The sequence below is a fragment of the Homo sapiens genome, chromosome 11 (genome assembly GCF_000001405.40).
Source record: "Homo sapiens chromosome 11, GRCh38.p14 Primary Assembly".
Taxonomy (NCBI): domain Eukaryota; kingdom Metazoa; phylum Chordata; class Mammalia; order Primates; family Hominidae; genus Homo; species Homo sapiens.
In genome coordinates this window covers 3,116,072-3,132,125 of record NC_000011.10, presented here as the reverse complement: position 1 = coordinate 3,132,125, position 16,054 = coordinate 3,116,072, and the positions used below count along the sequence as shown (strand labels likewise).

The 16,054-nt window shown below is 55.1% G+C and overlaps 1 protein-coding gene across 5 annotated transcripts in view, besides 2 other annotated features; it reads left to right on the top strand.

Moving 5' to 3' along the window:
• Nucleotides 1–16,054, top strand: part of OSBPL5 (oxysterol binding protein like 5) — a 78,204-nt gene that overhangs the window by 33,185 nt on the left and 28,965 nt on the right. For 3 of the 5 annotated variants that reach the window (NM_020896.4, XM_017017163.3, XM_011519873.4), the window contains exons 2-7: nucleotides 2,957–3,113; nucleotides 5,571–5,653; nucleotides 9,698–9,778; nucleotides 10,028–10,129; nucleotides 11,502–11,705; nucleotides 12,495–12,579. In NM_020896.4, the coding sequence (NP_065947.1) occupies nucleotides 2,978–3,113; nucleotides 5,571–5,653; nucleotides 9,698–9,778; nucleotides 10,028–10,129; nucleotides 11,502–11,705; nucleotides 12,495–12,579 (691 nt within the window). In that variant the 5' untranslated portion in view covers nucleotides 2,957–2,977. The remainder of the gene's footprint in view (nucleotides 1–2,956; nucleotides 3,114–5,570; nucleotides 5,654–9,697; nucleotides 9,779–10,027; nucleotides 10,130–11,501; nucleotides 11,706–12,494; nucleotides 12,580–16,054) is intronic. The other 2 variants (NM_145638.3, NM_001144063.2) reach the window with 1 other exon arrangement.
• Nucleotides 7,393–7,687: a silencer, noted in NCBI's record as "tiled region #6583; HepG2 Repressive non-DNase unmatched - State 20:ReprD, and K562 Repressive non-DNase unmatched - State 23:Low". NCBI's record gives its function as "represses a minimal TATA promoter and a strong SV40 promoter by Sharpr-MPRA in HepG2 and K562 cells {active_cell/tissue: HepG2 | K562}" and the evidence as "EXISTENCE:reporter gene assay evidence [ECO:0000049][PMID:27701403]".
• Nucleotides 12,163–12,332: an enhancer, noted in NCBI's record as "experimental_21160 CRE fragment used in MPRA reporter constructs". NCBI's record gives its function as "activates a minimal promoter by MPRAs in K562 erythroleukemia cells, with activity observed for both the introgressed and non-introgressed 11:3141109 variant alleles {active_cell/tissue: K562}" and the evidence as "EXISTENCE:reporter gene assay evidence [ECO:0000049][PMID:34662402]".

The window sequence follows — 16,054 nt, the reverse complement described above, 5'->3', positions numbered from 1 at the left end:
AAGGTGGAATCAGGCAGGTCAGCTGACTGGCTGGAGAGCTTCAAGGAGGGATAGAGGGGTGGCAGGTGGGTGAATGGATGGATGGATGGATGGATGGATGGATGGATGGATGGATGCCTGAAAGGGAGGGAGGGTGGGTGGATGGGTGGGTGGATGGATGGATGGATGGATGGATGGATGGATGGATGGATGGATGGACAGGAGGATGGATGGATGCCTGAAAGGGAGGGAGGGTGGGTGGATGGGTGGATGGATGGATGGATGGATGGTTTGGTGGGTGGATGGATAGATGAGTGGGTAGATGGATGGATGGATGGATGAATGAATGGGTAGGTGGATGGATGGATGGATGGATGGGAAGATGGTGGATGGATGGATGGATGCCTGGGAGGATGGATGGATGGATGGATGGATGGATGGATGGATAGATGAATGGGTGGGTGGGTGGATGGATGGATGGGAGGACAGTAGATGGATGGATGAATAGACGGGTGGATGAATAGACAGATGGATGAATGGGTGGATGGATGGATGAATGGGTGGATGGATGGATGGATGGATGAATGAATGGGTGGGTGGATGGATGGATGGATGGATGAATGGGTGGATGGATGGATAGATGGGAGGATGGTAGATGGATGGATGGATGGACGAATGGGTGGATGGATGAATGGGTAGATGGATGGATGGATGGATTGATGGATAGATGGGATGACAGTAGATGGATGGATGGATGGATGGATGAATGGGTGGGTGGGTGGATGGATGGATGGATGGATGCCTGGAAGGGAGATGTATGTATGTATAGATGGAGGGATACAAGGGAGCGGGAGACTGGTGTATAGATGAGACTGGTGTATAGATGAGTGGATGGTGGCACTCACAGACTAAGAAGTCCCACTGGCTGTCATTGGTGCTGGGAGAAGGTATGTGGGGTATCTGAGCAGAAAGGTACCAAGATCCCCTATGGCCTTTCTACCTTGGCCCAGGTGGAACTGGAGCAGACAGCCAGACAGGGCAGCTGAGGCTAGGTTTTGAGCCCCTCTCCCTGCCCCAGGAGGTTCCAAGTGAGGGAGACCTACCTGGGAATCGCTGTCACCACACTGCCTGGGACATTCCGGGGCTCTCTGTGGGTCCTGAGAGCAGGATCGCTGCTCACTTACCTTGGCTGCCTGGTGCCCAGCCCAGCCTGGGTGCTCAGAAAATCTCAGCTGTCTGAGTAAGCCCGGCCTCCGCTCAGCTGCTGGTTCCCATCCTGAGCTGCACCTGGGCAAGTAGGACGTGTTTGTTGTGATTGACAAGTAGGGGCAGGACTTCCCATCTGCCTGCTTCCCTGCGGCAGGTTGGCTGAGCCAAGCTGAGACACTGAGTGGGCAGACACTCAGCGGCTGGGTTTTAGGATCGGTTCCACCTGGCTTAAGGACGGCATTGCTGATTGTTAGCTCTGTGACCTGGGCCAAAACGCCAGCCTCTCTGAAGCCAGCTGCCCTGTGTGTAAGATGGCCAAGGTCATGAGCCGAGCCAGGGGCCAGGTGAGGGAGGGGCTGGCCCAGCCTGGCTGCATCCTTGGAGCCCCTCCCCACTCTGACTTCAGGACTGGGGGCACAGAGGGGGCTCTGGGGTGGTGGACAGAAGCCCCCAGGACCACAGACACCCTGGGCCCCCAGCCCACTCCTGAAGCCACAGCAGGAAAGTCTCTGTGTGTCTGAGGCCCCCCCCAGCAAAGCCCAGGACCATGGGAGAAATCGAGGCCTTTGTCCCGGGCTTGGCAGGATGCCACTGGCCTGCCCTGAGGCAGCAGGAAGCAGCCCCAGAAAATTGGGAAAGGAGGAAAATTGACCAGTAGTTTTTAAGGAGCTCGCCCTTGGGAAGTGGACACAAGATGAGAAGCTGGAGGGGATGCTCTGCCAACCCTTGTCAGGTCACGATTACAGGTCGAGGCCTTCCACTCCCTGAGCCATGATTTTCTCATCTGTAAAATGGGCTGAGACCTCAGTGGATCTGGCGCCGTCAACTTCAAGTGCCTGCAAAGGCGTGACTGCAATCAGTTACCCTCTGCTTGGCCCAGCACTACTAGGTGTAGGGCTGGTGGGGAGCAGGACAGAGGGGACCGCCTGTTGTCCTCTCTCCTTCCAGGGGAGGAAACAAGAAACTCGCTTCTGAACCCACAGGGGAAAGGCAGGTCTGCCAGTGGGCGGGGCTGGGAGAGCGAGGCAGGTGGGTGTCAGGGCCTGGCTGTGGGGCCTCCCTCTTTTGTGAAGCAGCAAGGAAGCTCCCACTGGGAATGCAACGTCTTGGGCTGGGCGTGGACGCAGGTGTGCCTGGCTGTGAGCGCCCAGAGCTCCCTCTCTTGCTGGGGTGCATGTGGGTGCAACTGAAACTGTTGGGGCACCCAAGCTTCAGGCGGGCTTAACCAGAGGCGAGGCGCTCCTGGGACCCTTAGATGGATGGCAGGCCAGGCTCCCGGACTGCCCAACACCGTGCCAGCCACTCCCTGGTGCTCAGCGGCCACCTGGTCTCACCCCCGTGCATCTTCTCCATGGAAGCTCTAGACCCCTCCCCACCACAAAGTGCTGTCACGTGGGAGGGAAATGCGGGAGGGAAAACCTGTGTCTACACGTGGGTCTGCCTGGCTGCAGCCAGGGTCTCACAGAACCTGGGGTGGGGGTTCTGAGAAGGACATCTTCCGAGGGTGGTGATGAGCCTCTCTGACCAGGGCTCCGTCCAGCCCTACTGCCCGGCGTGGAAAGGGCTGGCACCAGCCAAAGCCATTCGCCTGAGCTGGGCTGTCCTGGCTGACCACCCACCACCAGGCTCCCAGGGCCCAGGCCCTCCTCACCCTGCCTCAGAAGTCCCCTGAGAGGGGGACTTCTTAGCCAGGGGCACCCCCACCATGTGGCTCTGAAGCCCCTTCCGGGGCGGTGACCTCCTGCTGCCCCTCCTTCCTTCCTTCCAGAAGCCCCCGAGCGCCCACAGCATGAAGGAGGAGGCCTTCCTCCGGCGCCGCTTCTCCCTGTGTCCACCTTCCTCCACCCCTCAGAAAGTCGACCCCCGGAAGCTCACCCGGAACTTGCTCCTCAGCGGAGACAATGAGCTCTACCCACTCAGCCCAGGTAAGTGCCGGCCGTGGGCAGGGCAACCTGGCCCTCAGCTTGGGCCCGGTGGGGTGACCCCGGGCGGCCCAACCCCTCTGTGCCCCTTGAGGTCCACAGCTTCCATGCTGGGGACTGTGTGGGTTTCATGATCAAACGGTTTGTAGCTTGGTAGAGTGCCAGGTAATACGGCTTCTTGGCTTGACCTGCGGGGCCAGGTGAAGCCCATCTGGTTGAGGAGGGGGTTCCCACAGCCCAGGCTTTGGGAGTTATGGAGTGCAGTCATCCCAAAGTCAGCCCAGGCTTTGGGAGTTATGGAGTGCAGGCTCCAGGGACAGGTGGCCTGAGCCCCAGTCCTGGCAGGGTAACCCCAGGCCAGCTACTTGACCTCTCTAGGCCTCAGTTGACTGATCTATAAAATGGGACAATATTAGTACCTACTCCCAGCTATACATGGGTCCTGGGCTCTGAGAGGGGACAGCTGGAACCAGGCCTGCCTTCGTGCAATTGTAGATAAAGCACCCAGCACACAGACTCAGAACCTCTGCCCGCCAATGCTGCCACTCTCCAGGCCCCTCCCTGGCACCTAACTATGCACAACCCCTGCCCCAGCCAAGGCTGAGCTGTGACTGCTGTCCCCCAGAAAACCCAGCCCTTCCTCCCCTGTTCCCCTGAGAGTAGGAGGTAGGGGCAGGCACCTGCCTGGGGGACCTCTCCCCAGCTCTGCCCCCTCTCCTCCCACTGCCTGCTTTGGGGCTGAGGAAGTGGGAGCCCCAGCCCTGCCTGGCCATGGTCATCTCATCTGCCCTGGGGGGAGTGGGAGAGCATTGGGCGGATCCACCACCCAGGCTCGAGGGGCGTGTGGTCGCAGCCAAAGTCCCATCCAATAGATGGAAAAACGGAGTCCCAGCGTAGAGGTGGCCTTGCTGAAGGTGCTATGGCAGGCAGGGGCACTCGACACCCGGCAAGGTAAATCCTACACCTTTTATTCTCTGCTGTCACGTTCACCCTGGCCGGAGGCTTAGAAGCACTTGCAGAGTCAGGGGTGGGGAGGGGAAGGGCTGGGTCCCAGCTGCTGGTCAGTTTCAGAGGGACTCGGACCAACTAGCAACTGGCCCAGGCGGTGCAGAAGACGTGCTGGGAAGGGCCTTTTCCGAGGAATGGAGGCGGTAGGTCCCAGGCCAAGGGAGTGGGGTGGGTGTGGACAGGCTGTGAGGAGAAGGACCAGTGCTGACTTCCCCCTGCCCAGGGCACCTGCACCCTATCCCTTTGAGTGGTCCAAGGGCCCCAGCCTTTGAGTCCTCCCGGCCAGGAGGCAGCATCCACATGGAAAGTAGTTTGCTGGCGGCCACAGGCCAAGCCCCTAGAACTATATGAGAAAGTGCCAGAGGGAAGAGCGCTCCTGCTAGCCTCCCCCCAGCACTCCGGGTCAGGGGCGTAGCACTCTGCAGATGGGGAAGCAGAGGCTCCCAGGTGGGGGAGCAGCCACTGCCGGCCAGGGTCAGCGATGTTCTGTGACTGTGAGTGGCCACGGTCCAGGACCTTTGGACAGAACCACTTCCTCAGGCCACCGTCCTGGCTTTTCCGTTCTTCGTCCCCATCCAGTCCCTGCCCAGGGCTGTCAGGGAAGGACGGCTATAGACCCCAGGCCTTCCAGCTGGTCTGTGGCGTCTGTCCACGCACCCAGCCTGTTGCTGGCCTGTCGCCTGTGGCCTTGGCAGGATGGGGTTCACTCCAGCCCCCAGCCCCTCCGAGTCTCAGTGTCAGGGACCGGGGCAGTCAACCCTCGCCCACCAGCCACAGGAAGCAGCGGGAGCGGCCCTGCTGGGCAGACCTCAGGCTTCCCCTGCAGCCATCCCCTCCTTCCTCCTGTCCAGAAATCGTACCTTGGGAAACTGGCACCAAAGCAAACAGAGCCGGGGGAGGGGAGGCCATTTCCCAAAGGAGCAAACGCAGACACCTCAGGTCTCCCTCCTTTGCCTCTCCCTCCTTACCCAGCCTGCCAGGGTGGGATGGCAGACAGGGCTGACCACCTCCCAGCAAGAGCCCAGCACGCAGGGGCCGGCAGCATCCAGCCAGGGGGATGCACAGTCCAGGGGCCCCAAACCTGCCATGTGTCTTTGAGACTGGATGTCACATTCTTTTTCTGAAAACTGGGGACTCTGGCCTTCACAGACCCCCAATTGCACACTACAGCAGGCCCAGGATGCCGGTTCCTACCAGCTCCTGTCCCAGCTTCCTCCCTGTAGGTCCTGGAGGCCCTGCCAGTTCTCCTGGCACACTCCTCCCACAGTGACGCTTGCTGGCGTTTATTACACCTCTCAGGCAGTGTCCTGTTCCTGCCACCACCTCCGGCTGACTTCCTGCCCCTCCCAGGTCATCCGCACCCACGCTTCGCCTGCCTCACACCAGGCAGCGGCCTGAGAAGCCTGGCCACGCCACCATGCCTGGGTCCTCACTCCCACTGCTCTCTTGCAGGGAAGGACATGGAGCCCAACGGCCCGTCGCTGCCCAGGGATGAAGGGCCCCCGACCCCAAGCTCTGCCACGAAGGTGCCACCGGTAAGAGCCTGGGTATAGGAGGATCCATGAGCCAGAGCCTGGCTCTGGGGACAGCAGGAAACGGCTGGGGAAAAGGACAGCAGGGCGTCCAGCTGAGCCTGCCATTCCAGCCTGTTCGGGGGAAACAGCTCCCAATCCTAGACTGTGCTGCTCCGGGAGGGCTGCTGGTGGATATTTGGGCTGTTTTCACCATATAGCTGTCATGAAAAATGCTTCCGTGAACATGTGTGCACGTGTATTTGACTATCAGTTTTCAGTTCTCTCAGGTATAAACCTAGAGTAATTGGAATTGCTAGGTCACATGGTAATTCCAGGATAATATAGAACTCTCAAAATTGTCTGTTTAACTTTTGGAGGAACTGCCAAACTCCTTTCCCAGCGGCTGCACCATCTTACATGGCCACCCACAGTGCACAAGGGCTCCAGTTCCTCACATCCTCACCAACGCTTGCTATTTTCTGATTTGTTGTTTTCTTTTTTCCTTTTTCTTTGAAATGGAGTCTCCCTCTGTCACCCAGGCTGGAGTGCAGTGGCACAATCTCAGCTCACTGCAAGCTCCGCCTCCCAAGTTCACGCCATTCTCCTGCCTCAGCCTCCCGAGGAGCTGGGACTACAGGTGCCCGCCACCACGGCCGGCCAATTTTTTGTATTTTTTTTTTTTTTTTTTTGAGACGGAGTCTCGCTCTGTCACCCAGGCTGGAGTGCAGTGGCGCGATCTCGGCTCACTGCAAGCTCCGCCTCCCGGGTTCACACCATGCCCCTGCCTCAGCCTCCCGAGTAGCTGGGACTACAGGCGCCCGCCACCACGCCCGGCCAATTTTTTTGTATTTTTAGTAGAGACGGGTTTCACCGTGTTAGCCAGGATGGCCTTGATCTCCTGACCTCATGATCCACCCGCCTCGGCCTCCCAAAGTGCTGGGATTACAGGCGTGATTTGTTCTTTTTTGTGTTATTTTTATAGCTATCCTAGCGGGTATGAAGTAGCATCTCACTGCGGCTTCAGTTTGCATCTCTAATGACGGATAACATTGAACATCTTCGTGCACCCATTAGCCATTTGTATGTCCTGTTTGGAGAAATGTCTATTCCAGTTATTTGTCCATTTTTGGAATGGGTTGTTTGCCTTTTTGTTGCTGAGCTGCAAGAGTTCTTTATGCATTTTGGATACTAGGTCCTTATCCGATACATGATTTGCGACTACTTCCTCCCATTCCGTAGGTGGTTCTAAATTATATTTTTAAGGAATTTTCATAGGTTGCAAAGTTCTGGTCAGCCTGAAGTTCACAGTTCTGAGCAGCACTTCTCATCTCTCAGGTGCCTCCTTATGGCACTGTCACTGATGCACAGTAGCACTGAGGAGTGAGCAGAGGACCTGGCATGCCTGGACGGGGTACCCACCTGGCCTGCAGGAGGGAGGAGTGGGCAGGCACTCTCTGCAGTGCTGGGGCTGCAGGGGCTGCAGTGACCAGACCCAAGGGTCCTGCCCAGTTGGGGAGCAGGGGTTGCAAGTGCTCCATCCCATGCCATGCGGTCTTGCCTCTCTCTTCCCCTGTTGCCTCAAATACACACAGCCCCATTCAGCTGCATCTAGTGGGAAGCTGGGCAGAGGGGAATTGGCAGCAGGTTCATGCGTCCATCCATCCATCCATCCATCCATCCATTCATCCATTCATTCATTCGAGATGCTTGCTAAGCCCCCAGCTGCCGGTGTGAATGGGCAGTAGGGTAGAACCCTCCCCTGGTGGAAGCCACAGACAATCATCAGTTCACCACAGAAACGGCTGCGTGGTTGTATTGCAAAAGTCCTGGGCGGGCCAAGGGTGGTGTGTGTCACCAGGACCTGTGCCAGCAGGGATATGAGCTGTCCTGCTTCTGGGGAAGCAGCTCAGGGAGCCTGAGAAAGAAAGGAGCAGGGGCTACCCAGCCACAGGGAAAAGCATTCCAGGCTGGGAACACCATGTGCCAAGGTAACTAAGGGCATCATGAACAAGATCCTGGCTCAGGGGACTCCCAGGAGGGCAACTTAGGACACCTTCTCTGCCAGCCTGGGTCCCTGGAGGCCTGTCAACTGGCCAGGGTCCAGCATATGCCTCGTCACTCAGATCTGCCTCCTCCTTATCACTCATCGTCAGCCCAAAGACTGCTTCCAAGTCAGAGCCCCCCAGGCACCCCATCTTGTGCCGTTTTCTTCTTGTGATCCTGAATGCTCTTACTTGGCTAAGAAAGTGCCACAATGGAGCAACACTGCCTGGGTTCAGTCCCAGCTCAGCTCCTTATTAGCTGTGTGACCTTGGGCAGGTTTCTGAACCTCTCTGTGCGTAGGCTCTTCCTCTGTACAATGCTGAGAATAACAACGATGACCTGAGCTGTGGGATCTAACGTGCTTACATCCATGCACAGAACGCAGAACCGCAGCGCTCACCTGACCCCTGGCTCCTCCCGCCTCTGCGTGCTGGTGGCTGGTCTGCCTCTCCCTGAAAGAGCAGGACACTGGCATCTTTACTTTCTAACCTCAGTGCCTAAGGCCAAGCCTGGTGCCCAGTGCTGCCAGGACCGCCAGTCCGTGGAACGGTTCCATGCCCTGCCCCTTGCTAGCTCTCCACCTCTCTGTGCCTTGATTTCCCAGGCACAGAAATAAAATAGGGACAATAACCGGCCCCACCTTATGCATGGCTGGAGAATGAGGGGGATGAATACAGGCAGCACCCGAACAGGACCTGGTGCCCCAGCAGACAAGGCTTTAGCTCTGTACTTAGCACCATCATGATTGGGGTGGGGGCAGTCCCCAGCGCCCAGGGCTTCTAGCCAGGAGAAGGCCTGAGGGAGGCTTTCCTCGCCCTAGAGGCTCCGCTGGAAAGTGCTGAGCACCCGCAGACGCCCAGCCAGAGCAGGGCAGGGCGGGCACGCTTTCTCTGGAAAAGGCCAGACGGCATTTAGGCCCCGCCGCGGCGCAGGCTCCGTTCCAGGTACTCAGCACAGCCATCCAAGCACGAGAACAGCCACAGACAACGCCTGCCGGATCGCCTGGCCATGTGCCAAGAAAACCTTATTTATGGACTCCTCATTTGAATTTCATATAATTTTCACATCTCACAAATTATTCTTGTGATTTTTTTTCAACTGATTAAAACTGTGGAAGCTGTTCTTAGCTTGCAGACCACGCGGAAGGAGGCAGCAGGCAGGATTCGGGTCGTAGCTTGCTGTCCCCAGCCTGCAGGCTTTAGACCTGGTTCTGTGTCCCAACTCGCCCCCTACCCTGCCTCAGGTTCCCCATCTGTAGAAGAACCGTGGCCCCCTTCTGCCTCCAAGATATTGGGACTGCCGCCCTGGGCCCGTGCAGTCAGCCACATGCTGGGGTCAGGTTCGGACCTGGACAGTGACCTCTGCCCACGGCTCCCAGGGGATGGGGTGGGCACCCCCACTGCACACCCCCCACCAGTACATTGGCCCTGCCCAGAGCTGGGCACATGCAATGGCCAAGGAGCAGCCATGCTGGGTACCGTAGGGGGAAGACAAGGCAGGGAAGCTGTTCTTTTGGGTGGATGCAGGGCTGGTCCCCAGAGACCCAGCGTGAGTGCTTGTTGCCACCATCTCATGGCCGCCGCCGAGCTCCTCTTCTGCGAACTCCACCCTCTGGCACCCTGACTGCTTTCCTCAGCGGCCTCCCAGGTGTCCCCTCAAAGACGGCTGTCCCTCAGGGCTCAGTCAGACCCGTAGGAAGTCAGCCCTGAACCCTGATGTCCCCACATTTCCCTCCTTCCTGACCACCCTGCCCCATCCCAGCATGTGCCCCGGGGAGGATGGGTCCCCTCCTGTCACTGGCGTGTGCCCATGGAGGGTCTCTCGTCAGCCACCCTTGTTCTTCCATCCCCCCATGGCAGCCCCGGAAGTGCTGGTGGGGGGGATGGAGGGTGCCAGGCGGGAAACGAGTGGAGCGCCCTTCTCTGACTTCTGCCCTCATATCCTTGGCATCAGGCCAACCTGGGCTCCTAGCCCTGGGCCGGCCCCTGTGCCCTGTCCCGCATACCCACCTCTCTCTTTCAGGCAGAGTACAGGCTGTGCAACGGGTCAGACAAGGAATGTGTGTCCCCCACCGCCAGGGTCACCAAGAAGGAGACTCTCAAGGTGAGCCCGGGCCCGGGGAGGGTGCAGCAGTGTCACTGTCAGACCGACGGCCACCTGAGCCAGGGAGGTCACCCTCCCCACCTGTCAAAAGGAGGGGACAAACCGCACCTGGTCGCCTCCACACCCCCTACTTCCTCCTACTTCCTCTCCTGCCCCTGCCCCTGGACCCATCCCTGGGCTGGACGGTGGGAGGAGCTGGGGCAGCTCGGTGCCTTCTCCCATGACCCACCGCGGGTGCCCCGGGCCCAGGCGCAGAAGGAGAACTACCGGCAGGAGAAGAAGCGCGCCACACGGCAGCTGCTCAGCGCTCTGACAGACCCCAGCGTGGTCATCATGGCTGACAGCCTGAAGGTAGGTGATGCCCGGCCTCCGGCCACCCAGGACACGGGTCAGCGTGCTGCTGCCATAACAAAGGACCATAAACCAGGTGGCCTGAAACGATGGAAATTCACTTCCCTGCATCTAGCCGTTATCACTGCAGCCTCTGCTCCTTCCTCATGAGGCCTTTCCTTATCCACCTGTCTCTCCCCCTTTTTATAAGGACACCAGTGGTAGGAATTAGGGCCACCTTACTCCAGTGTAGCCCCATCTTCACCTGATTATGTCTGCAAAGACCCCATTTCCGAATAAGGTGGGGCCTGGCCAGTGGGCGGAGGGCGCTGGGGAGGGAGACATTGCTCTGGCTTCTGGGAGAGGACCCCACATCAGGGCCGGGTGTCCTGTGTTCAGACCTCACGGAGACCGTGGCCATTCACTCGCCTCTGAGCCTCCATTTCCCCTTGTGTACAGTGGAGGTAAAACTGCCCAACTCCGAGGCTGCTGGGCAACGCATACCAGATAAGTGTGCCCAGCCCTGGTGTCTGCAGAGCCCAGGCCCATGTAGGCTCCTTCTACCCGCATACCAAAATGATGAATCAAAAGTTAGGTGCAAAAGTGAGTATTTAGAATGAGAAAAGAAGACAACTACTTTCAGAATTTACAGAGCTGCCAGGCCGGGTGCAGTGGCTCACACCTGTAATCCCAACACTTTGGGAGGCTAAGGCGGGTGGATCACCTGAGGTCAGGAGTTTGAGACCAGCCTGTCCAAAATGGCAAAACCCCGTCTCTACTAAAAATACAGAAATTAGCCAGGCATGGTGGCGGGCGCCTGTAATCCCAGCTACTCGGGCGGCTGAGGCAGGAGAATCGCTTGAACCTGGGAGGCAGAGTTTGCAGCGAGCCAAGATAGCACCACTGCACCTCCAGCCTGGGCAACAGAGACTCTGTCTCAAAAAAAAAAAAAAAAAGAATCTACAAAGCTGCCAGTTACAAGTCACACCACTCATTGCTGGTTCCTCCCTGAGGCCCTTGACCTTGAACTTGACCCACGTGACCCTCACAAGTAAATCTGTCCCTGCTGCCACGTATTTCTTTGCATTCACCATAACATATGGGCTCCTTTTAAAAACTGAACAAGGACCCTGCCCTGAGTTCCACTCTGAGTCCTGGGGCACCGCTTGCCGTGGCTTGGCCCCTGCTCGGGTACACGATAGACACAGGACATCACCCCAGGGAGTGAGGGTGAGGAAGGGGTGAGTTCCGAACTGGTGTGGGGGAGTGAGGGAGGGGAAGGGCCCCTCGGCAGCCCACCCTGGTCTGTGCCTGGCTCCCCGCCAAGCCATCAAGATGCCCCAGGGATGGCGGCCCCAGAGGGTGGGCATCGACGCCAGCATCCTCCCTGCAGATCCGCGGCACCCTGAAGAGCTGGACCAAGCTGTGGTGCGTGCTGAAGCCGGGGGTGCTGCTCATCTACAAGACGCCCAAGGTGGGCCAGTGGGTGGGCACGGTGCTGCTGCACTGCTGCGAGCTCATCGAGCGGCCCTCCAAGAAGGACGGCTTCTGCTTCAAGCTCTTCCACCCGCTGGATCAGTCCGTCTGGGCCGTGAAGGTGCTGCGGAGGGGTGGGGTTGAAGACAGAGGCCCCGTAGGGCCAAGGGGCTCATTCCTAGGGCCCTGGTGGAGGGTGGAGCCAACCAGCTGAATGGCCCCCTTGGGGCCTTGAGCAGGTGTCTCACCTTCTCTGAGCCCCACATGCGGCCAGGGGATCAGATATGGCCACTGGTGCTCCATGTGAAGCACACAGTAGGCTGCAAGGAGGTGGCATCAAGGTCACCCCAGCCCCTCACCCAGCTGCTGTCCAGGAGGGACAACAGTGGCTGCTCCCCAGGGGTGGCCGAGGAACAGCGCCCAGCCCTCACCCCTCCTAACCCGGGGCTGCCCTGCCAGCTCTAACGGGTGGGAAACCAGAGAAACCCTGAACACCTGGTTACATTTGGATTTCAGAGAAACATCAGAGTTCTTTCATGCTAGTATGACCCCAGTCATGTATGGGAAATACTTACACCAAAAAGCTACTCATGGTTTCTCTGGGATTCGAACATCATTGGGCATCCTGGATGTGCCTTTGCTGATTCTGGACAGCCCAAGTCAGGAGGCTCAGAGCTGGAAAGCTGAGGGCAGAGCTGCCAGCTAAGAAAGGGGACAGAGCTCCCCCACCTACCCGCCTCTCTGCAGCCAAGTGTCTACCTGGCCAGGTGCCTGGCCCCACCTGGTGGCCCTGTGGCCCTGGGGGTGTCCAGGTGGTCCCAGGTGTGGATCCGCATGGTTCTGCCTGACCTATCTGTGCAGCTGGCCCTGGGTGTTGCCTCGGGTGACACCCAGATCTCTCTCTCTCCAGGGCCCCAAAGGTGAGAGCGTGGGCTCCATCACACAGCCCCTGCCCAGCAGCTACCTGATCTTCAGGGCCGCCTCCGAGTCAGATGGTGAGTCCCTGCCAGCTTGCGCATCTCCCCAGTGCCCCCACCTGAAGTGGGCCCCCTTTTGAGGTTGTAGCCCAGGTACAGGTGGCCCCAGTTCAGTCCCTTCTACTGTCTGGGGGCAGCCTGAAGTCTGGCCAGGATGAGCCCGGCTCGGAGTCAGGCCTACACTCACAGAGCCCCCATGCCTAGCCTCAGTTTTCCCATGAGTAAAATGTGACATTAAAATACCACCTGTCAAAGGCCAGGCGTGGTGGCTCACACCTGTAATCCCAGCACTTTGGCAAGCCAAGGCGGGTAGATTACTTGAGGTCAGGAGTTCAGGACCAGCCTGGCCAACATGGTGAAACCCCGACTCTACTAAAAAATACAAAAATTAGCCAGGCGTGGTGGCAGGCGCCTGTAATCCCAGCTACTCGGGAGACTGAGACAGGAGGATTGCTTGAACCCGGGAGATGGAAGTTGCAGCAATCCAAGATGGTGCCATTGCACTCCAGCCTGGGTGACAAGAGCAAAAGTCCGTCTTAAAGAAAAAAAAAAAACCACCTGTCACCCCAATGTTATGAGAACCCAGTGACCTTATAAAAGCACCCATATAACAATTACTGAGCTCCAACCACATGCCAGTGTGAACCCCAAACATCTGAGACAGGTCTCAGTTAATTTAGAAAGTTTATTTTGCCAGGCCGGGTGCAGTGGCTCACACCTGTAATCCCAGCACTTTGGGAGGCTGAGGCAGGTGGATCACCTGAGGTCAGGAGTTTGACCAGCCTGATCAACATGGCGAAACCCTGTCTCTACTAAAAATACAAAATTAGCTGGGCATGGTGGTGGGTGCCCGTGATCCCAACTACTCAGGAGGCTGAGGCAAGAGAATCCCTTGAACCCAGGAGGCAGAGTTTGCAGTGAGCCAAGATCACACCACTGCACTCCAGCCTGGGTGACAGAGGGAGACTCCATCTCAAAAAAAAAAAAAAAAAAATAGTTTATTTTGCCAAGGTTGAGGCCGTGCCTGTGACACAGCCTCAGGAGGTTCTGATGACTTGTGCCCAAGGTGGTCCGAGCACAGTTTGGTTTTATACATTTTAGGGAGATATGAGACATCAGTCAACACATGCAAGATGAACATTGGTTCGGTCTGGAAAGGCGGGACAATCAAAGCCGGGAGGGGGCTTCCAGGTCATAGGTAGATTAGAGACAAATGGTTGCATTCCTTTGAGTTTCTGATGAGCCTCTCCAAAGGAGACAATCAGATCTGCATTTATCTCAGTGAGCAGAGGGGTGACTTGGAATAGAATGGGGGGGCAGGTTGGCCCCTAGCAGTGCCCAGCTTGACTTTTCCCTTTAGCTTCGTGATTTTGGGAGCCCAAGATATTTTCCTTTCACATTTCCCCCCTTTTTAAAAATCTTTTGGAGAAAGCATTTTAGAAGAAAACGAGTCTCTGGTCTCAGGTTCCACCTGATCTCTCATGGCTAGGATGGTTTATTCCTACACAGGTAGGTCCCAAGTTATTAGGAAAGCTCATTTTCAGAAGGCTGTGAAGTCTCATGTCCTATGAAGAGAAAATAGTAGGAGGAAGGCAGAAAAACAACAACAAACAAAAGAACAATCCTGGGAAATTGGTATAGGCCACATTACTCTGAAGTCCATACATCAGTAGGCAGGCAAGAAAGTGGCTTATGTATGTAAGTAGGTTGCTGTTATTTTCTTCTGAAGTTTAAGTTGTCTAGTTTCAGTTTGCAGGGCTTTAAGAAAGCACAGCTTAGTCTTCAGCGACTCCAAATTAGGAAAAATGGGAAAAAAATGAAGGAAAAAAATTGAAAACATTATTTTGAAGACCTATAGCCAACAAAAATTAGGATTTCATCCAAAGTGCAGAAAATAACAAAAATTGAAAAACATTAGGGAAGAGTAGAATCTAACAACAGCTGTACTATAGTTTTTGAAACATAATTTTTTCTCTCCAGTTTCCCATTTTAACTAAGGACAAATTATGGTAGGACTGGTTTGCTTTATTATACTTGGACTAATTATTTATATACAGTGCAGCAAGAGTAATTAGTTTTTACATAGGCTTTTAAATTGTCTTTGATGGAACTTTGTTCCATAGAAAGAATCTCAGATAAGACTTTTTTAAAGCTGAGCCCAGTCATGGACTTGTACCATTAAACACCTATAAGTTGGGCGAATTATTATCTTCTTGAGGTTCCAAGATAAATTTGGAGCTCCTGGGCCTGTCAGAAAGTGACATTCTTTACTTACCACAGGTCAGGAACCCTGTACAGGGACTGTGTAGATGAGGTATGAGGCCAGTTTTTCCAAGGGGCTTTCATTGGTTCCATAAGTCAAGTTTGAGTCCTTAAAGGAAAGCACATCATTCCAGGCAAAGCCTTGGTAAAATAACCAATTTCTCCGATTGTGTCCTGTTACAAATGAAAACAGATTCTTACTGCACTTATGCAAATAACTGTATTGTCATAAGTTACGAATACTCACAGATAGTTTTCAAATTCTGTAAAAATTAGGTAGAGAGAAACAAATATGCTCCAAATTTTGTTCACAGGAGTATACTCAATTGTTAAAAGCTGTAAATAGCTTAAAGTTTTCTTGACTCTGAAAAACAAAAGAAAGGATCCACAATGTTTTAAGCAAAAAGTCAAAAAGATTACTTCACACTTCTTTTTTTTTTTTTTTTTTGTGATGGAGTCTCACTCTGTTGCCCAGACTGGAGTGCAGTGGCGCCATCTCGGCTCACTGCAACCTCCACCTCCTGGGTTCAAGCAATTCTCCTGCCTCAGCCTCCCAAGTAGCTGGGATTATAGGCATCCGCCACCACACCCAGCTAATTTTTGTACTTTTAGTAGAGATGGGGTTTCACCATGTTGGCCAGGCTGGTCTCGAACTCCTGACCTCAAGTGATCCGCCCACCATGGCCTCCCAAAGTGCTGGGATTACAGGCGTGAGCCACCACACCTGGCAATTACTTCACACTTCTATTAGTTTAGTCCATGCAGTTAATTCCTGTTCTGCTTCAAATTTATGAACATTTCAGCTCTCCATGAACCCTGAAAGTTTTTCCTCTATTCTGATGTCACAGTCTCTAAAGTTATCAGAAACCAGCATTCAAGAGCACCTGTTAGAGTTTTACAGCTGATTATAAAACCACCTTCTAAAGAGGACCAAAACAAGACAATGATTGCTTGTGGATGATAAAAAGTTTTAGGGCAGCCATACTCAAAGACACAATTGACAAGGAAATTGTTACCTCTGTGGCACAAAATAATTTAACATAACAATTATAATCATTACTGATAATGTATATTAGGTCATATCAGAATTATAGGAGTTTCCTATAATTTTGGAACACATACCAGTAACATATTTGTACAAATATAGCCCAAAGAAGACCAAATACCATTTTATATTTGACACTGCTTCCTGTATAATTTTTTATACCAAATAAGCCAAATATGTCATTTT